At 32.9% G+C, this 23,271-nt stretch overlaps 1 protein-coding gene across 15 annotated transcripts in view; it reads left to right on the top strand.

Moving 5' to 3' along the window:
• The window catches only part of KCNT2 (potassium sodium-activated channel subfamily T member 2), a 382,662-nt gene that overhangs the window by 282,227 nt on the left and 77,164 nt on the right, over positions 1-23,271 (top strand). For 6 of the 15 annotated variants that reach the window (NR_146057.2, NM_198503.5, XM_006711294.4 and 3 more), the window contains 3 exons: positions 6,659-6,730; positions 10,188-10,322; positions 20,869-20,980. Coding sequence is in view for 11 of the 15 variants with exons in the window: in NM_198503.5 (NP_940905.2) it covers positions 6,659-6,730; positions 10,188-10,322; positions 20,869-20,980 (319 nt within the window). In the remaining 4 variants the exon portion in view is untranslated. Of the gene's footprint in view, positions 1-6,658; positions 6,731-8,944; positions 9,927-10,187; positions 10,323-20,868; positions 20,981-23,271 lie in introns of those variants that run through there. The other 9 variants (NM_001287820.3, NM_001287819.3, XM_006711295.4 and 6 more) reach the window with 6 other exon arrangements.

Raw genomic sequence — 23,271 nt, 5'->3', positions numbered from 1 at the left:
TTGTGCATTTATTTGGAAAATATTGGATTGGTTTACTTTTGTTAAATAGGACTACTTAAGCAATTCAAAATTCTTATGCAAATATAAATATGGGTCACTGAATGAGACAGTCAAAGCCATTTTATTCTAAAATTATAATATCCGTCTCTGTGACTGGAAATTAGTAGCAGGTGGTCTTTAGATTAATACCATATTTTAGGATTCTCTCACTCTCCTCATCCATTCCAATGTGATGCAAATGTCAAGATGAACTATTACTAAATGAGGCCAAATTCCGTTGCCTTGTCTCTGCCTTTCAAAATTATCAAAGTTTTTCATAAGAGAGACATCTGCCCAGTACATTATAACTTTATAGTGTTGTTTATTCTCACTTTACCAACATCAAAATACTTATTGATGCAACTTTCTTAGAATCATCATTATAAGAATAATCAACTCCAAAAATTTATCACACTTGTAGAATTTTCATTTGAAGAATTTTCAGATATGATTACTCAATGACTTTTTCTATACTTCTTTGGCATCTAAGGAAAGCTGAGGCATATTTAGGGTAAATGAAGGGGAACAGAAACTTGGACCAAATTTCAGAAGAAATAAAAGTTTGTTAAAACAAATTTTAGAACAATCAAAGTTGCATTGTGGGATGGCTATGGCAATACAGTGGTTGTAAATCACTTCTTTCAAATATAATCTTAATTCTGAAGCATCTCTGCTAGGAAGCTCCAAGAAATTGGCTGAGCTGCCACAGGAGGGATGCCTAACTGTGTGAGTTCAAATGTGTCAGCTTTTGGCTTCTTTTGCTTATGATGAGTACATTGCCCTGAAAGTGGAAGTTAAGACAATGGCATTTGCAAACGTTGCCTTAGAGTAGCTATATGTTGTATGGCTTGGATCAAACTGGATCAATTCAGGTACCAGGTTACAGACAGGAAGGTAGGAAGTGGATTGAGAAAAAAGTGGAACTGTGCTTACAGCATCTTTCTGATAGGACTAAGGACAAAACTGTACTTTCCTCCTCTTCACATAATTTCAAGATAAAGTTTCTTGTCCTGATGTGTAAACCTCCCTACCAAAAATCAGTCTCTTCATATCTGGGACTGGAGTTCACTCTATGAACAGAGATGGACTCCTCATTTTCAATCTTCAGTCTTGCTAGGTAACCTTATTTCAAATCTCTAAGTCTCCATTTTCACCATCACACAGGTGACAGGAGCTAAGAAGTGTTTTACTTGTATGTTTTATGTAGATTTTAGAGTAGCTATAACCAAATCAATCCCTTTCTGTTTGGTTTTGAATAAACAGGTTACAAAAATGTCTGATTACTGAATGATTGATTGATTTGTATATTAGGATTATAAAATCAATTATGTGATTGTTCAAGGACTGGCTACACAGTCTTCATTCCTTGATCAATCACAAAATAATCTGAAAACTCTACCTCTCTTAATTACTGACAACTGGTTAGTATTTCTCTATAAATATAGATGTGGCTTTTATCAGATAATAATTCATCTGAATAAGACCATAAAGATTATTCAATAAAGTTAATATTATTTACCTCCATCCTCTGTTCATAATTACAATGACTACTACATGTCAGTCATCATACTACACACTTTACTTTACATTTTAGTTGCACAAGTCACATATTTACATTACAGTGATGATTTAGTCTTAGAGAGATGTGCCAAGCAGTTTAAAATCTCAAATTACGATGTAAACATTTAAATAAACTGAAAGCTGTGTGAGGTGGCTACAACACTGTCTCTTATTTTAAGAGGATGTAAAAGAGACACAAAGAAGGTGAATGACCTTTTTCATGGTCAGTTTTTGAATTAGACCTTTCTATGAAATTTCTGTTTTATTTTTCTTTCAACTTACAGGGTTTTCATATATGAAAAAAATACATGTTGCTTGCTCATACTTTTTGAAAACAAGAATATATCTTAACTTTGGTTTATTTTTGCATTAAAAGTTCCCTTTGCCTTCCTAATGGCTTACATTTGGGAATCCAACAATCCACATTATATTGTTATTAAATAATTCTTGTAGGGTTTGACTTTATTTCAAAGGGTTAGGTTGAAAGTTCACGCTGTAAAATCTGTTAGCTTTCTGTGTACTTCCCGAAAGTATTGTCGAATATTCTTATTTGTTGTCCTCTGTTCCTTTGGTTAAGAATGAGGAAACTAAAACTAAACACCAATTAACAATGTCCAGGAAGTTTTATGCAATTCTTTTTTTTTTTTTTTAACAATTAGATGCCTGTTGCTCTGAAATGGAGAGCACTTTGCAATCCATCCTACAATATTACAAAAAAAATGAGGCTTTCTTCTTTACAATATTTCCATATTATAGGAATTCCTACAATGATGATTGCATACCCTTCTAGAATTATTAGTTAGTTTTGAGGGTTTGACTTAAAATTCACATGAGTACAGCTGAAAATAGTATTCAGTATGTGGCTATTTTTAAAAATTAGTCGAAACGGCAATTAATTCAATATAACAGAAATAAATAATAGCAGATGTAATAAGCATGGGATTTTAAAATGTAAATTAAATTTATAATATTCATACACATAATATGCCAAAATAAGTGTTCACAATGTTTTCAAATATAAACCTTTCTAGATCTTAAATGGTAATTAAATAAAACTCAGTCATATTGAAAAGCATCTTTCAGTTGGTACTGGTTCATTAGAGCTGGTGTCAGTTCTGATTGGCTGGCCATCTGTTCTGTTTGGTCTGTTGTGCCATACTGATTTTAAATATTTTGATTACCACCCCAACCTTAAAGGTCATCTAGTCATTTTTAACATCATCTCATGTGAAAGATAGAAAAGCAAGTCAAAAGCTAGAATATATTATCCAAAGCTACATAAGGATGAAGGGAAAGATCCAGGCTTTTGCTCTTAATATTTATCAAGGTCTTCTTCACACTATCCATTCATTAAATCAATCTTCTTTCCACATATGGTGCCAAGTAAACTTCAGCTTATTTTGAAAGTAATGATAAAATCCCTGATGTCAGTGTTCTTATTTTTAAAATTCAAACTTTAGACTTATTCAGATCTAAGTTCTAAATTTATGCTCTTGATAGGTCTGTTAAATGTTACTGAGTCTTTTTAAGCCACATTTTTCTGATTTGTAAAATGGTTAAAACATTTATCTTAAAAAGCTATTGTGAGATGATGTAGATAATGTATATAAAATCCTAGTGCAATATCTGATTCATAAAAGGAAGATAAGAAACATCATTTTTTTCTTCTGCCAATCAAGAAAATAACACTGTCACTATTCAAACTGATGGACGGATTATGAAAACCCAATTAATAAAAAAGGACACTTATTTAAGTAGCTAAAATTAAACTACTTTCATATTGTCTAGCAAGGAATAAAGTACTTAAAAGTGGAATTAGGAAATGTTAACAAAATAAACTGTGCTCATAAAAGCATGCTATGCTCATTTCTTGAACTTGAAATAAAGAAATTAATTTTTAATTGTTATTAGTTAAATGGGAACAAAATAATGGCCTTGAATTTTACAAATTCATACAAATTTGCAAACCTTTTTTACTTCCTAACAGTCACTGACTAATATTTGGATGGCAACTTTTGCTATGAGAATTTCTATAAGAATATGAGGCTTTTGGCTCATAAGTCGTCATCTTTTCTAATAGAATTACAGTTAAGACTCATTAATGAATGTGCTCATTTTCCTTCTGTTTACTAACATCAGTTACTTTTTGTGTTTGTTGAATTTTTATTTTGTTTATTACCGGTTAGTTTCAGCCTGTGTTTTTTTGTTTTGTTTCGATTCATGTATATTTATTCTTCCCTGGATCTATTTTTTGTCATGTTTACCTTTTTAATTGATTATCAAATACTTCTTTATATATTAAGCAACTGTGGTCTACAAATTTTGTATAAGTAACAATTTTTCGACATTTATTTCTTATTAATCTGTTTGTAATGAGCTATGTAGTTAAATCTGTCAATCATTGTCACCACTTTTCCTTAATGTAATTCCCAACGTAAATAAGCCTTCTCTGTTTAGCAGTCAGATTTTTTAAAATGCATACATTTTATTCTACTGCATAATTTTTTAAATATAAAACTCTTCATCAGTACTTTGGGGACATAATGTAGGAAAAGGACATCTAGTTTTAGGAATGTTTTATGTTTTTGTTTAATGTTTTTCAATAATAATGCTTCCCAATGTAAAGGTTGTGCTTGCCAATTAGCTGCCTCCCAATGATTAAAAAATTGTTTTATTATGAGCCTATAATATCATTTATGTTACTCAATTACTAAACAGGTCGGTGCCATGAACACTGTTGACAATGTATTTAGGTCAGCTGGCATAATACATGTAAATGCACAATTTATTTATTCTTTATGTTTCAGATTTCCTTTTAAGCCACCTTTTTTCAATAGCTGTAGTAGATGAATCTATCTATTATGCTAAATTAAATTTTGCAAAGAATACGGCATAATAGACCACTTACCTTAGATATCCTTCATCAGGATTATATATTTAGTAGGGTTCAGGTGACTTCATTTACCTTGTAACATAGCTGAATTCATGTAAGGATGAACCATACTACCACAATACAGATGTTAAAGCAATTTCCAAGGATTTGGCACATTGCTTGCCCATTGTAAGTACATATTTGTGGTAGAATTGCATGTGACTGAAATTCATGAGTTTCTTAAAGCATAACAATGATTAAATTTGATGGCCAGTTAGCTTTTATATTCTCTGCTAGACAAAGCAACAAAATAGAAAGGCCTTATCTTCATTTTTAACTCTAGTAGAAGGGTTGGCATAAAATCAAGACTTACTTTGTCCACAGTGACCTCAAGACACAGGCGAAGGGATTTTTCAGATCACCGCAACAGCCCAGTGTTGCCCCACTCTTGTGGTACCTGCATCCTCCTATGTGCTTCTCCAATTACAAGACAGGGTGAGAGAGATGTGGAGGGTTTTGAATCAGCAATTAAAATAGCCCTGCTAATTTTAAGAAGCAGGACAGTACCTAGAAAGAGTATAACTAGAAATCTCTACCATAAGGCACTATCAGAGACTGCTACTGGAGTGTATATTTGGTTATAATATTTGTTGAAAACATATATCAGGATCTTTAAAACTGTTTATAGGCTGTGATCCACTAATATCCCTTCCATAAATGTTTTGGGATAATGATAAAAAAAAAATCAATGCTTAAAAAAAAAAAAGAAAATAAGGTCTTCGGAAGATGTGAATACCAGTGTTAAATACGATAGCAAGGTACTGCAAAGAACTGATAACTGCAGTATTTCACAGAAAAAAGTGAAAATAACTTACAAAATAAGTAACTGAAGATTTTAAGAATGAATTGTGGTACATTCGTAAGATGTAATACTATTGGGTCATTTTAATGACTACAAAGAAAATTAATGATAGGAGAAATTTAATCAAAATTAAAATAATGGTATTCTTTACAAGTTTTTTTTTTTTTCTTTAAATGTTTTGCTGTATTAAGCATTCTTTTTCTTCAGAGTGTAAAGAGCTAGAAGGATGACCAACAGGAGAGAAATAAGTCAGGGAGAGAACAAAAAGTTCATCTAGCCAGGGAGGCTTGTAGGTACCAGTTTTCTTGGCCTAGAATTTTCTTCTCCTCCTCATATGCTGAACAAACTCCTACTAATCCTTTAACATTCAAATTAAATATCAGCTCTGTGAAATGTTCCTCAATTCTGCCTCCTAAATATAACATATTGTTTGTTTTTACAGATTAAAATATATAATAGAATTGTATGATTTTGTACATAATTTTTAAAACTCTTTATTTCTTACAAGTTAACAGGATATTCTTTTGCATATACCTGAATGTGTTAAAATGTCTATTAAATAAAATGTTTGGATACATATATGCTGAGTGAATAGATACATGAAGGAATTAATAACTTTGTGAAATGAATACAATAGATTAAGCAGTTTCTAAGGAAGCTTTCCAGTTTATGGTTCTTTCCTCAAATATGTATATAAGTAAAGACTTCAGTCATAAATGTTTCCTCAATAATATATAGAGAGTATATCAATAAATTTAAAAATGCATTACTTTCACTATAATTTTATATAATACATATTTTGCATGAGCATATATACTATATTTATTTGACATACTGACATATTATATAGGGCATGTTGTGATTATACATATATCCCTTAGAGAAAGTAGTTCTTAATAGACATGCTTAATAGTTGCTCACTAAGAGGCATTAGTACCCATTGCTTTAGATCATCTAAAAAAATGCATTAGTTTTTTTATTTTACAAGGCCTCCTGTGCATGGATAACTTTTAAATTTATTTATAAGATTTCTTGGTCATAATTAAGAATATCAATTCTGTATTTTTGTAGAATTATGCGATAATGTTTCTGATTTAGAAAGCTGAAATACAACTTGTTTTTATAATTCTGAGGGCATTTTATGATTCATAACAAGTGCAAATGACATTTTCTAGTTAATGTTAAGAAAAAAAAGCACTGAAAATTAATTTTGTCAGCAGTGTTGAGTTTTGGAAATGCAAACTAAGTCAACTTACTTCCTTTCCCTAGAAGTGCTGCCACTGTTGTGACATTGTGTTTCATTTTGTAACCCATCTACTACTTAGGCCAGATATGCATTTTCTGGATGCAATCTGTTGGTTTCCAATGGTTTACTACATGGTGGGCTCTATTGACAAGTAGGTGACAAAATCTTTGGCACACTAACTAGTGTAGTGTCCTGTGGTTTGTCATGTGCTGTGCCTTGTTACTGCATGATGAGTGTAATTTGCCGTGTCAGTATTGCAAATATGATATATTTTGCATGTAGAGCTTATGTTCTCGTGTTATACATCTTGTATTAAACTTTCTGAGTAGTAATCTATTGTTGAATTAAAACAAATCTTGCTGCATGTCAATTTTGTCAGTTTTGCTCAGTTTCTAATGCTGTTTTAGTTTTGTGTCATCTATAACAACATTATTACTATTGACATAGTGGTAGAGAAAACTAAAGTTGCAATATTGTGATGCATTGATAGCGTTACGATAACTTCTGGAAACTTTGAAATAATTTAGAAATGCTCATTTTAACTTAGATTTATAAATTGGAGCAATTCCTTTAGAGTTTACTTTGGTCACATGTCAGAGTTTATAATTTCTAAAATATTTGTTAATGAAAAGGTCATATGTGTTTAATACATTAGTAATTAAATACAAATTCTTATACATGTATTATGGTGACATTAAAAATATATATAAAAATAAAAGATCAAAACGCTAATATACTTGAAATAATATATGTTACTTTTCCACTTCTAAAAAATGTCAGCCAGAGCCTTCAAAATAAAATGCTAAAATTTACCAATTGAGAACTTTAACACTTACATTTTATCCTGTAGATGTTGAAGAAAACACAGTTTTACAACTTTGAAAGTATTTAGTGCTGTGGATACATTAAAGGTCAAACAGTCTAAAATATGATTAGCCTCCATTCTATGTTAATATAATTTACCTCATCAGTTATGATAATACTAACCAAGTAAATAAACTGTAGTTAGATGTACTAAAATTACTATTTAAATTCTACACATGTTTTATAACCAATCATCTTTTTTGAAATCTTTTGAGGTAATAGTGTTCTGTTAAAATTTATTAGAAAAACAGTATATCTAAAAGCTAAAGAATAAACGTCCCATATACCTTTTCTGATGCAAACTATGAAGTGGATTCTTCCTCTGTACAAGTATTTATGGTGAGAGAATAAATAATTGAAAGGATCAAATTCCTAGGGACAGAAATAAAACAGAATTGGCTACGAATTGATAATTGTTGGTCTGGGGACAGTTATGTTCATCTAACAATTCTCCTCTTTTGCTTGTATTTGAAATCTTTCTTTAAAAATACCTCTTTGAATGAATTAAAACACATTCATGAACACTTCTTTACACTTACGTACTTCACATTCTAGTCCTTGCAAAAAGGGGTCTTAGAGAGGGATAGAAAGGGAGGCTTTGCCAATTATCCCTATAACTTGTTTTCCATCTAGATTGACTTTCTTGTGCTCCCATCTGCTGGCCACACTGTGTAAAGCAGCCATGCTGAGGGAAAAATAAGGCAATGGCCTTGCAGAAATTATGATGGAGAGGAGTTATAAGAATAAGTTGGCAGCCTACTTAAAAAAAAAAAATAAATGCAGTAGTAAATAGAAAAATAATAATATAATCTTAAAGCAGAAAATAATTAAAAAGCTTCCACATGGTTCAGAAATATTATTCCAAATTTATCTACTTTCTATATAGATTTAAATTGATATGTAACGATAATTTGCCAAGGTTATGAGTAAACTATAACAGCCAGTATTTTTGAGACTGGAATTAACCGACACACGTGGGTATAGGTAACAGCTATTTAGCACAGGTACTCTCAAAGTGAAGTTTTGGTCAAATGTTCACTTCAACGTCATTGAATGATTGATGATTAACTATTCATCTTTCCTATCTTCACTTCTATGCATATATACTTATCCAGTCACTCTTATCCTCGACTGCCCTATCCTTTCCTTTTCCTATATAGGTAATTATAATGGAGATGTTTTATTAATGAAGAAAAAAGATTGTGAAAGCTGAAATATGAGAAAGTGATGTAAAATTATGATAAGGTGGTGTGAAGACATATGACTTAAGCGTCATTTTGATGGTCCACAAGGGCCATAACACATTCATTTTCCATCTAACTCTTTCTTTTTTAATGTACTTTAATAAATTAAGAAAAATTATGATAAATTTCCTGAATAAAAGAAAGACCCAAGTATCCCTAGGCATTTAAACTTGAAGGTCATCATAGTGGTTGGATGTTATGGTCCTGGCCCCTCTTATCATAGGAAATTTATTTGGAATAACATTCTGTTTCCACAGTTTTAGCCATAAAATCTCTGCCACAGACCATTGTTCCTGATTCAAGCGAAATATTTTTTCTGGACTACTCCTGGGGATCTTGGACTCAAGGCTTTGGTAATACCCTGTCGCCTAATAACAGAGTAAGAAATCCTGCCTCCCGCCTTCCCATAAAAGGAAAATAATTCCCTCTAACGTGACATGGCTAACTCAACCAATCATGCACTTGGAAAAGATCCTCAGGGACTTCACTCTTCAATTTAAAAACCTAAGAGAAACTACTGCTCTTTAAGCTTTAAACATCCTATTATAAATCAGAAGATACGGAAATCAATTAACCTATCTTTTCTTATCTGTCTTCAATCAACTCTGTACCTAGAACATTCTTGTACTCATTCAAGTTTAGTCTCCATTATCCAATTCAGTTCTACTTTTCTAGTTTGCATGAAGCAGAGGCAATGAGAATAATGTTTCCCTGTTTCAGCTTTAACGGTAAATAAACATTTTCTTTTAATTCATTGGGAGAATGATAGGTAAGATTTTTTTTTTTGTCAGTGATAGGGAAGAAGACTGACTCTATTTTAGCTCACAGGTATGTGTTTCCTACTTTAGCAATTACTTCATCCAGCCAAAGAAATCGGGTTATTCAATCACTTGCTCAAAAACTTAGGCTGGCTAAACAGTAGGCTTGCATACAACAGAATTTGTATATTTTATATGCTCTTGGTTGTGTAGAACCAATCTATAGCACATAGGTCTTACATAAAGGAATAATAAACATTTAAAAATAAACATTTCATAGTTTTGTATTTTTTCGTTAAGCTTGACCATCTAAATTAACATAGCACTTATTTATTCCTCTCTTACCAAAATTACTTTAGAAGTAAAAAAAAGTAAATGTGTCTTTGAAGTAGTATGTTAACTGTAAAAACAAATTTCTAATATGCTCTATTTTATTGCAAAATGGATGTATTCCATATTTCATGTATATAATTAATAAAAATTATTAAAGAAAATATTTTAACACACATATTTTGAAACAGTTGAGATCTAATGACATGTAAAGTACCCAAAATAAAAATTATTTCATATTGGTAGATAATATTGTATCATAATTCCCTTTAATAGCTACCTGTGCACACTCTGTAAAAGCCACCTCTAAAGGCAACTTATATAAGCACAGGGGATAGTGCTAGACTTTAGCACTGATTATAACATTGTGATTTATTTAATGTTTGTTTTTCTCTGTTGATTTTTATCAAAGCCTAGATGACTTACTCAGGTGTGGAGTGACTTTTGCTGCTAATATGGTGGTTGTGGATAAAGAGAGCACCATGAGTGCCGAGGAAGACTACATGGCAGATGCCAAAACCATTGTGAACGTGCAGACACTCTTCAGGTAAGTGGCTGAATCATCCAACCTTGCCACTTACTTTGTGCTAAACATTGGTAAAATATTTGACACTGACTCTGTGAGGAATGAACATGAGACACACCAACTTTATGTTCATTTATTCATTTTTTTCATAAAGTAAATGTTTATTGAGCATGACTGGCACTGCATAAAGTTAAATTTTTAACACCAGATCAGTAATGCTTCTCATAAAACAAATTGAATGATATATCTATTTTCTCAGATAGTTTAACAGTAGCAAATTCTTGAAAATCATGTGTACTAGTAGTCATGAGTTTTGACAAGCAGCCCATGTTCTCGTATTGGTATTAAGCCTAGCAGTGACCAAATATTTGCATTTACATACTGAATAGCTAGGACTGAAAGACTGCACAGCTGTGAACAGGTAAGTTACCCATGTTAGGAGCAAAGTCATGACATCATTTTCACTGTTTTCCTGTCTTTTATTAATTAAATGTACCCATTGAATTTAATTAATTGAATTTAATTTAATGGGGATATGAATCCCCATTATGGTTGTCTTTGGGTAAGAGTAAACAATCCTGACTAGAGAAAGAGCCATGCTATAAGTAAAGTCAAACTCGTCTGTCATTCAAGGCATCTGTTTCACTTGGAACAATTCTCCCTAAAATCATATGAAATTTTAAATATCCAAAAGACCATTTTTTAAGTTGTATGAGTTTTGCAGAAGCCTGAAGAAAATACGTGAGCTACCAAATTACAGAGGTAAATGAAACAATCTCAACTTTCTCATCATCCATGTTCACTCCACTTTCATACTTTCATATTGTAGTAAAGCATATATTGAGGTTAATTATTTTGCCTTCTAATTTGAGTTCAAAATTCAAAGGAGAGAGCCTAGATGCGTGTCTGTGTTAAGTTGCCTATTTTTAGTATGATCTTAGGCAAATTACTTTTCTTCTCTACATCTCAATATATTAATCACAATATTATTAAAGATTTAGAAACATGCAATGCCTTACTTAGCACATACCTGGTCATTTTTAATTACTTAATAAATATTAGCTATTAATATTACTAGCAGTATAATTATCACTTCCATGTGGCAGAAGGGAAAAGCCACTGACCTTGGACTATACAGCAGCAAACTTTATCTGGCACAATGTATATCCTAGAGGCTCCAGCTGACAGTCACTAACTTTGTGACCTTCCTAACCTCATTAAGATTCAGTTTTTCTCATCTATAAAATGCTGCAGAAAATAACCGACCTTGCAGTGTTAATGTAAAGATTAGAGATCAGTTATTTAAAGAATCTGTCATAGCACCTGGAAAATCTACACTGAATTTGCATAAGAACCTCTTGTTCCAGAAGAAGAAATACACACTTTAAAGTTATTATAATGCAGCAGTTCACTTAGAATATAGCTAACTAGTTAACTAGTGAGCTGTATTAAACAGTACATTTTTAAAAGACACTATATAGAACTTGTTTAAAATATTACAGATATATAAATTTTTTTTCTCTAGAGAATATAAAAGAAAATTACAGGGTAGAAAATTAATTCAAGGATGAGATTTATAGCTAGTGAGTAGGGTAAAAATCATGCTTTTTGATTCCATGCTTGGCAAAAGCTAATTATATAAAAGAGGATCCTAGGTCTTTTTAATTAAACATGTTATTTAAACTTTCAATTTACCATGAATTTTATTTCTATTATGGTGACATTTCTATTGATTTAACTTTTATTATATATTCTCTGGATGAATTATTTTGATTCCAAGGAAATAATAAATCCCCATCTTACTGAGAGGTTCAAAGGCTGTAATTAGTAATTTAAAACAAATTAACTCACCATAGTAATCATGGACAGATACATATATGGCAACTAATTGTGCAAAGGCTATGTTACTCTGAGTACCTAGCTGAAGATGTGATTACCACTTGTTGAATGAATGAATGGATGGATGAATGAATGAATTAATAACTTTGGATACCTTAACTATTAGGCTTATCTGTCTTCAGCAGTATATTTTAAAAATTATATAGTTTTTATGGTATATATATAGTAATCTAGACTGAATAGTTTTGAGCAGAATTTTTCAAAAGAACTATTAAAAACCCAAATTGCAAAGAAATTACCTCTGTTCTTTCCTTTCTTATGCCCTATCATGACATTACTATTATTTCTCTAAGTATATAACAGTATTTTTTAGGAAAAAATTATATGAAACTTTTTTTTTGTGTTGTGTGTTAAGCTGCTAATCTGTGTATGCTAAGCTAGGCTAGTTTTACATGATAAAAAGTAAGACAGACATTTATAGGTTTCTATGATATAAGAAGAATCACTTTTGCTCATAAATGACCAAAATCACACAGACTTGGGAGTTGCATTTTACAGATGTGGTTAATTATCATCCTCCAGATCACTCTTCTGCATTCCTTGGAGATTTTAGTTCCTGATTTACTATGACTCTTGCCAACCCTGATTATCATAATTATTGATGATTTCAACAATCTTACCTAGATGATCCTTTGAATATCTGACCTTCACCACCCATTCTCATGGTCATAGCCTAAACCTTGAACTATGAATAATTTTACACTCCACATTCTCAGTTTCTAGCATTCAACACTCTGAGTAGTGCTACTCATTTTCTATCTAATTTCTTCTAATATTCTCAACTCTTAATAGTCCTTTGACCACACTGGAACCTGTCATCCACCGATCCTACTACCTTTTTACTTACCCTAGTCACCTGAGGGCTTTTTCCCTTCCTTACCCAGATTCAAATCTATGATCAGTCATGATAATCACTGCTGCACTGAAATCCTCAATGGATAATTACTGATTATCTACTACACACTGACACTGATCTCAACTCTCTCCCTTTTCTCTCTTCCTCCTACTCCCAGTTTTCTCTCCTTTTAGGTTCTCTACCCACCACCTTGCATGAAATTCCTTAGAGGCAGATGACAACATTCCAGAGGTAGGATCCAGTTACCCTCATCAGTAAGCATCAGACAACTAGAAATCCAATCACAATGGCTGGATATCAGACTATTTAGGATTAAAGCTTTGGGCCCCATCTCTAAGAGAACTAAATTCTTATACATTAATTATGCATGCGGGAATAGTATCTTTAAAATATTTCAGCCAATCCTTGTATCTTAAAGAACACCATTAATATTCTCAATCAAGAGCCAATTTCTAATTCGTTGATTAGTAAGGCCTAAGACTTTGATAGAAGTACAGATAACAGAAGTAATGTTGTGTGAACATTCAGATTAAAAACCAAAGCTTAGGTGATGAAATAGAATGCCTGCTGCACCTGGTATTTAACTTAAACCAATGCATGCACGTATCACATTGTTTATTTTGAAGTGTTTCGAAAAGTAAATTACAGACATCATGAGAGTCCTAGAACGACCTAGACAGGCCTTTTATTTATCACTTACCCTGATTCGTTCCTTCTCTCATGATGAGTTTTATCATTTTTTAAATTTATTTATTTATTTATTTTTCTCGCGGAGGGGACACTCTTAGTAGGCCTTTAAAGCAGCAAACTTTCTCTGGAACTACCTCCAGTCCAGAGGTTCCAAATTCCCTGGAGGAATAGTGTATCTCCACTCCTTTACTCAGAAGACTCCTTGAATCCTAAGCAATTGGCTGTTCGCCTCCCTACACAGTATTTCTGCATATCAAAGACAATAAGGAGATAAGATCTTCCTCGGGTTAGATCCTGTTGTACCTCTCTCCCCAAAAGGGTTTTTATTTACACATCTAAAAGAAGACACTCAAGTAAGCCATCCCAGTACAAAGAGCTGCTAAAAAGTGAAAGAAAAGCAAGTCCTCAATTTCAAATTTAAATGTATCCTTCTAAAGATTTAGCTAACAAGACAATCATTACAATTGGAAAACATTTCATGTTTTCATATTTGTATGAACAAGTACTAATATCTAAACAAAGTTTAAACCCACAAAACAAAATGTGCTTTGGATTAGAAACAACCACAGTAAAAAGTCTATGTCAAATTGATCTACCAAAATATCCCACTTGGTGGCTGTTTGGCATGTCACTGGCATCTGTCATTATTTTCATTTTACTGAGAAAGAAATAAACATTTAGAGAAATTTAGTGTCTCATCTTAGCCCATCTAGGAATTAAAAAAAAAATGGCAGATTCAGGGCTATGACCAGAGTGTCAAGAAAGACAAGAGAACTTTACCTAGGAGCTGGGGAAAAAAAGTCTCTCTGGAGAGCACACAGAATATAATGTTTAGGGCAGAATGGGTACAGAATTTGTATGGTAAAAGTCCAGGCGTGACCTAGTTGAGAAGTCCCCTTGGGTTGATTTTGTTTTAATACAAAGATTTTTGGTTGCTGTTTTTGCTTTTGTTTTCTGAACTTTAGCTGACCACACTTGTAAGATAATGAGCAATGTCAATGGAAACATTGAAACAGGTCATGGATTGTTATCTGGTTGGAATGGAGCAACTCCTGCATTAGATCTATAGTAGGACAGGATGACTTCTGTGGCCATGCCTGCAATTGTGATTTGTTAATGTATCATGCTTGGCCCCTAGGTTTATTGAGCATCTAGTAAGTGTCAGGATTGTACAGGATGCTGTGGCTGCAGTGATGAACAAGGTGGACATAGCTGGTGGCCTTTGAATACTAATAGTCTAACAGAGAAGGTATTAAGCCAGTCATTTAAAATTTTAATTAGAGAATTATAACTGTGGCAATTATTGGGGAAAATATGTAGAATTGTATATAGACTCAGATAATAAGAATATTTGCTCTAGTCCCATGGGTCAGGGAATGTCTTCCTGAGGAACTGATAATCTTTTACCTGAAAAGTGAAGAGAGACTAAATGGGCAAAAGGATGGGTACAGCACATTCCATATGGCGGCAGCATATACGAAGCTCTGAGATCCTGGTAGTGACTATTCAAGGACTTGGAGCAGAGCAAGAGGAAGACTGGTGCGAGGAGGCTGAAATGGAATTTAGAAGCCATATTTTCATGGCTTTGTAAAGTATGTTCATATGTTGGTCTGAATTTTAAGAATAATAGGAAATCATTGAAGAATAAAGAAATTTTAAAAGATAACTGCAGGTACAATGTAGAGAATTGTTTCAGGAAAAGAAAGAGTGGGTGAGAGCCGACCAGTTAAAAGACTTCTGTATTGCCACAACTATAAGAGCATAGAAGGGCAAGTTTTGTTTATTTGTTTCTGTTTTTTTAAAGAAAAGAATATTGTCTTAGATTGGCACAAGTAGTCATAATCTTACGAAGGAAACAACATGTACATGCACATGGAAAATGACAGATTTCTAAATAATATAACCATAAGTAAATAATTTAAAATACTCAACATGTATAAATACAAGATTGATATCTTTATATAGTGAAAACCACTTTTAATGTTTAGATTGGTGATGGTTTACATGGATAAGATTTTTGAATACAGAGGATTCCTTATATTTATCATACTGTCATTTATTACTAACTCAGACTCCCTGAAGTATTTTAAAATTATTTATGAAAGATTACATACATTTATACTTGTTTTAGTGTTGATAGTCAATTGCAGTCCAAAAATCCCAAGTAGTGTTTTATGTGTATCTAAGTGTGTCTGTATACCTCCTATTAATGTATACCCCCTGTTAATTAAAAACATTATTTCCAGCTACCATGGCAAATCAGAATTTATAGTGTAATATATAGCTCAGTAGGTAATATTTTGAATAATGTGTCATAAACATTTTCCAATATTCTTATATTTGTGTTTTTTGCTTTATGATACAAATACAGCTAGTTTCAGAGTTCCCCCAGTAGCCTGTGAAATAGAATATATGGTGTGTTTTTCATCTTTATATTGGTTAGTAAAAATATTTATTGAATAAATTAATGCAGGCAGAGAACTCTTCCATAGATATTTTACACATCTCCACAATTATATTTACATCACTGAGTCAGAACACGAAGTAATTGTAGAAAAGTTTTAAATAGAACAAACTATATCTTCTTTTTTTAATTACAGTATTGCTCTATTATGTTTCTAGTGCCCAGGGAAAAGAGACGTATTATTTCATTTTAATTCTAAAATGTTCTACATGCAAAATGTGTTTAGCTTATATTAAGACCCAGAAATAGATTTATGGTGTTAGTGTTTCAAAGGAGACTAAATAAATCTATTAGACAACCAAATTTGTAAATATAAAATATTATAACTGAATACAAGTAATAGTCTATGGATATAAAGGGGGTTAACATACAGTGTTTCATTATGTAAGTATTAGTTCTAGATTTTTCACTAGGTGGCAGGCTTAGCTAATACTTTCAGTTTCTCAGTCCAAAATAACATAAATGTTGTAGGTTCATTTATGTAGAACAGAAATGGGAGGCACATCACGTAAATTATGTTGTCTTATTTAATTTCAACTCCAGAAGCCACTCAAATACAAGGACTGGGTCACTCAACCATATTTTCACTCACTTTTATTAAGACCCCAAATACTTCTAGCTACATATATGTGTATATTTCTATTTGATAAAATGTGTTATAAAAGAATAATAAACCAAAGAATCCAGGTAACCACAACTTGATTCAAAGTGAGAATACTGGTTTATATCAAAGATAAAATACATATTTTTAAGGGAAATAAAAATGTTCCAAAAGTTAAACTTGATTTTCATTAGTTTGTAGCTACGTTTTCCTCATAAATTCTATCTCTAGCCTGATATCTCAACACTGTCCTAAATGTTCTTCATAATTTATCCATTCACTAGTGTCTTAATGCTACTTAATCTAGGAGTGTTTTGTTAGCCAAAATGTATCACCCCTAGAAAAATACATATATCCTTATAATTGGTGAATTTTTATTGTTTCATCTATTATATTATAGTGTTTAAAGTCAGGAATCTTACTTTATGTGTTTATCTATCTCCTGGAGACCAGAAATTTCTAATAGTAAAAACTTGATAATTATTCATTAAGGCTAAATTGAAGTAATTTATAAAACGTTATTTTTAAAAGAGTTGATTTTTAATATAGGAAACATGAATCCATTGCTAGATATTGTTAATAATTTATTTTATTTGGATCATCTGTGTCTCCTTACACTGGTCTATCTTCCTCTTTATTATAATGGTGGGGGAAGCTTCAGAACCTAATGCTGTGGTGTGACCCAGGCCCTGCCACCTACTAGAATGTTACCTTGAACATACTATTTTGTCTCTTTGGTCCTCAGTTTCCTCATCTATAAACTAATAATTGGAGGTAAATCATAGAGTAGTTTTTTGTAGTTTGAAGAGGTGATGTGACCCTTTCAATTTCTAACACAAGTTAGAAACTATTGAGATCCAAAGAAGTCAGGCAGATAGAGATAAAAATATTAGGCAGGAAGATGTGACTTTGGTGTAGGCAAAAGTGGGCTTTTAAAATCCACCCTTGAGAACCATGGTGAGGAGACATACTGGACAACCACAAGACTTGTCCTAGAGGGCTTATCTCTCCTCACAGCTTGGCACAGACCAGTACACATCTAAAGACACTGAAAAGATAGAGTCAGGGTTGAGACAGGCACCCTCAGCTCTTCCTGGGGAAGGAGAGGATACAGATGGAAACACAAGAGGGTTCCTACCTGATGTGAAGATTACATGAGTTAATCTTACATAGACAACTCTTAGAGCCGTGCTTTATAGTTATTGTTTTATGGATGTGTGTTACCCATCGGAGAGAAAAAAAAGAGGAAAAGACAAAGAGGAGAACCTTAGATCCGTTAATTTTTCTTTTTAAAGTTCAGTGCATGAATGTGGGATTTGTTGTCTGCATGAGTTTATAGGGCTTTGTGCTCATTGATTCATTTTTGTCCTATTTTTCATTTTAGTTTCTATTTCCCCAGATGATGGAATTTTGTCTGTGACAACCATATATGGTGAATATCTTTAGTGACATTGTTATTTTAAAATATTTCTTAAATAAATACTTTGAAACTCCCATATGGTATGAAATTTGGCAGTTGGTGGCATTTCCCAGGCCTACCAGATGGAGTTTGCCAGCCAAAAGTCAATTGACATTTTTTTTCCATCAGGCCACTTTTCTAATTTTTAAAGAGTTTTTGAGAAAATAACTTTTATTTATTGAATGCACTATCATGGGTGACTTTTGAGTGAGAATAGAGCTGCTAAAAGAAAATCATGTGAAATATGGATAATACAATGTTTCTCCATAAACTATTCTAATTAAATTCAGTGCCCTCTTCATCAAGATTTAATCTCAAATGCACAAACATGAATTGAGAAATTGTTTAACAAAGATTTGTTAATTAAAGGAATATAAGGTTATAGTCACTTGAGAGGGAAACCATGCTTTCTAGTTGTTATGATTTATTAGGAGAGCTAAGGCATGAATAAAACCAACCAGGTAGCTAGAGAAGCCAACAGGTAGTGTAATCAATAAATCAGATACTGGGCAGCCAAACTGGAGAGAATGATTCTGAGTTTAAAAATTTTTTAAGTTTCATCTTGAATGGATTTGAGAGCCACTTTAAATATTGGTAGTGATTTCGTAGTATAGAGATTCAGGAGAAAAGTAAACAGAAAAGAAATGGCATTTCAGGCAGAAATAACATCAGAAAAATTTTAAAAACTAAGAAAATAGTAATAACCGATTTAACTAAGAAACAGTACCTTTTGTATGTAGCCACTAGCTTCATGCTTTGCTACATCCTTTCTTTGCAGAATCTGATATTTAGAGTTTCTGTAATGAATTTAAGGTCACAGAACTATTGAAAAAGTTATCAGTTGCACAAATAAAATTACTGTATTTTTAACATTAAAAGTCAGCAAAAGAAATTATATCGTGGTTGTTGTTTTCCTGATATTATTTTAATAACAATTACTACAATTTACCTGAATCAATAACTACAGTAGTATTTATTACCAAAACGAAGATTAAGAACTAGGATTGTTTAGTCAGCCACAATTTATTACCCCTAGAAAAATACGTATATACTTATAATTTGTGAATTTTATTAAAAGATTTCACAAAATACCCAATGATATCCTAGCTCTCAAAGGCCTTGATTAGGTAAGGCCCAATGTTAGTCCATTTGTGCTAATGGCCAAGAGGGCGTGTTAGGTTTTACAGACAACTCTAAAAAAAAAAAAGCAAGCAAACAAAAAAAAACCAAAACTCTTCTTAAGAATGTGTTAGTGTCTTAACCTGAATGGTGACTAAAGCCCAATGTAAACACACCTGAGAGGCAGATAATCAGAGAAGCCTGGTCTGAAGGCTAAGAAAGGCCCTGCTTGCTGCAGAGCAGTAGGGTGGGCACACTCTCCCCAGCAGGAGGGAGCATTCCTGGCAAATCATCCATCAACCTTCCAGAGTTGGACCTGAGGAAAGGTAAAAACTCGTCTGTAATGCTGGAGCTCAAGGACAGGGCTCCCATCTTAAAAGAAGCATGTACCACATCAAGCACTCGGGCACATGGAAGTAACAGCACCCTCATGACTGAATGAGCATAAATTCATAAATTCATAAATTGAGAGCAGAAGGAGCTGATTTGTTCCTGAGCCACACAAACAGGCTGTTTATATTCTGCATATTTGCAGTCAGTTTTAGTCCCTGAGTTCAAGGGATGAGTTCAACCTAGTGATGGGAATTTTAAGTGGTCATAACTTAGTTTAAAGACATATCATATGAAAAACAAAGGTGATTATCACAGAAGTGGCTGCCACAGAGAATACCAAAATATTTAACAAGGAAAGCTACCAGGGATGCATAGATATCAGGTAAGGATCAGATCATGAACAACAGCAAAAATAAAAAGTATTTATTGTGGTATCATCCTGCCCCTTTTCTCTGGGGGAAAGAAATCTTGTGTGAGCGTGTACGTATGTGTGCTCATTTTGGTATATATTTGAGAGAGTGTCAAATGGGAAGAAAGCTAATATGAAGCCATGGGACCTGTGAAAAAAAATTTCAGGATACTTTTGGGGAACACTATCAATGCTTTAGCCTTGGCCCCAATTAATTACAATGAAGTTTTACATAAATTATTTCCTCATCTCAGAAGTTTGTTGTAGCAAGATTTGACATTTAAAAATTGCCCACTATGAGAATAAGGAGCCATAGGACATGAAAGAGCTCACATAGTAGACAAGAAGCTCATTATGTGAAATTTTTGCCAATCAGCTTATTTATCTTTATAGATTTCTGTTTCAATACCATCCACAAAGTAACCTTGTAACTTCTTAAATCAGCTTTATGAGTTTCTTCTATGTTGTTCCATAATTGTAAAGAGAAAATGTCTAAAAAAAGCCAAATTACTGAATTTATTTTTCTTATTGTGCTAAAATGTCTGTTAAAATATTCTTCGGGAAATAGTGTTTCATTTTTCCTGCATTGTATAGAAGATTTTATGTGGCACTGCCTGCTGTTGTAATTGGATATAGTTTTATGCCCAAGGCTAGGAATCACTCACTCATAAATATGTTGTTATAAAAAATACCATATTGGATTGTTAGTGTAATGCAAATGTTCTTTTGAAATGTAGGTTGTTTTCCAGTCTCAGTATTATCACAGAGCTAACTCACCCCGCCAACATGAGATTCATGCAATTCAGAGCCAAAGACTGTTACTCTCTTGCTCTTTCAAAACTGGAAAAGGTAAGACCCCACATTATCAAGTAAATTAGATTTAACCATCTTTATTCAGAAATTAACTCTGTAAATATATAAAAAAAATGCCATGAGATAGTAAAACTAAAATGCTGTTTTGAATTTTTATTTGGGAGATGAAATTCTAATTGATAATTTTTTTAAAAATGTGAATTGACAGATTTGAACGATTTATATCACAGGTAAATATGATGGAGATATTTTGTTCTATTATTATTAAGTATTAAACACATGATTTGTGAAAGAATTAAATGCAACAGAAATGTGTATACTCACTTACTTGCTATGTCATGAAAATGCTGGCTTCCCAGATGTCACCAATACAACCTGACATAAAGCTAAGTTTATTGCTTACCTAGGTAGGGGAGACTACCTCCCCAGTAGAAGTTTGGCAAGGTCTCAGAGGGAGGAAAACAAGGTCAAAATATACTGAGAACTGGAATTTAATTTAATGATGATATTTCAAAACAGGGACTTGACTGGGATTGGGAAGAGATCCGGATAATGCTAATAGAGACAATGGAATTGCAAAGTAATGTTATATGGTCAGAAAGATTTGGTTTCCATTTTCAGTATACAGGCTGAGTGTGGGTGTAGATGGTTTTTGCACTCAGCTTTTACTTACTACTAAATAGTAGTGTACTGAGAGAATTAGATGTGAAAGGAAAAAAAAGACCCAGTCTTATACATGTAAAATGTGTTAACCTGGGTGTGGCGGCTCGTGCCTATAATCAGAGTGACCTGGGAAGCTGAGACAGGAGGATTCCTTGAGCCCAAAATTTCGACGCTGCAGTGAGCTATGATCATGGCAGTGCACTCCAGCCTGGGTGGCATAGTGAGATCCCATTTCTAAAAATAAATAAATAGTTAAATCTAGGCTGTTTTCATTTCTTATAACAATATAAGAGGTAGAGAAAATGATGCCTTATATTTTTTGGTTAGTTATTTCTTTTAATTACCAATTATGACAGACCAGATGCTGTCCTAATTCCTGGGAAACATATTGTTGAGTAAGGTTGTGTCTGTACCCTCATCTATTGATTTATCCAAAGCTAGTCACACACGTGATGTTTATAGAGCCTTACCCTGCTTTTTTATGGCCACAGGGAAATTGTTGTTGTGCCCTGCTTCCAGATGTGGAAACTGAGTTTGAGACTAGATAGATACCTCTCCCAAGATTATACAGCTACCAGTTCAATTCAGCAAGGCATATGTAAGGCTATTAATATTCAGGACAGAAAATTTCCACTATGCCACGTTGCTTTAGCAACATAAAAAAAGATGGCAAGCAGGGCTAAATTGACTCAGACTTGAAAGCAAACCAAATAATCAGAAAACCAGCAGGAATCCGTGCTGGCATGATGTAGTAGTACAGCCTCCTTCATGGGAAGTGAGGTAGAATCACTTGTGATGAAGAAGCCAGGATCTGTAGTCAGATTGGTCCAATTCACCACTGCTTTTGAGAAATGGAAACTGGATAAATTATTTCGTAGCCTTGGGATTCTTATGTGGAAAATAGTGGTAGGAGCTATTTTAAATAGTAGGGTCATTATAAAGATTACAGCACATAATCTATGCAAAACACTTAGCCCTGCATTTGACATATAATTAGTACTCAAATAAATGGTACTAAAAGCATAACGATACATTTTATATTTGTTGATATTGTCACTAATAAATATTTCATTCTGTGCATTCTAGTTGTTGACGAGTCAGTTGACGTAGCAAGGTCATAATTGTGGAAGGTAATTTCAGTATTTGTGAGCATTTGTATTGACATGCTTGTGTGCTTATTGCATTAGGGAAAAAGAAGAAAAATATGAGGTATATATGCCAGTCAATTACATATATCTCTTTATCCAAAGGAAAAATAAAACTTAATATTTTTGCAGCAGGCAAGAAGGCACAATTTAATACCAGGTATCTAGGCTAAACTCCCAAAGAGAGAGACACAAGTTGCCTTCCTCCTTGATGTTCACATTTCAAAAAGATACCCCAAGGCCCACAAGAAAAACATTCCTGGAATGCAAAACTGGCTAGAGGTTTATTCAGCTTTTCAGAGATTTGCATCCATCTCAGGGACAGAGAAAGGATTTCCAGTTACAAGTTTTTGACAGAGAAAGGATTTACAATTACAAGTTTTCTAAAGAAAATGCTCCAAGGAAAAGGGAAGGGACTTTTGTCATCAGGGTATTTTTTTTTTTTTTAAGATTTGCATTTGTCCTTATGTCTTTTAGATTTTTCCCATGAAGAAAAAAGAAACTCAATACATCAACATA

This window comes from Homo sapiens, chromosome 1 (genome assembly GCF_000001405.40).
Source record: "Homo sapiens chromosome 1, GRCh38.p14 Primary Assembly".
Lineage (NCBI taxonomy): Eukaryota > Metazoa > Chordata > Mammalia > Primates > Hominidae > Homo > Homo sapiens.
The sequence above is the reverse complement of the archived record's forward strand: the minus strand, read 5'-3'. Positions and strand labels throughout refer to the sequence as shown.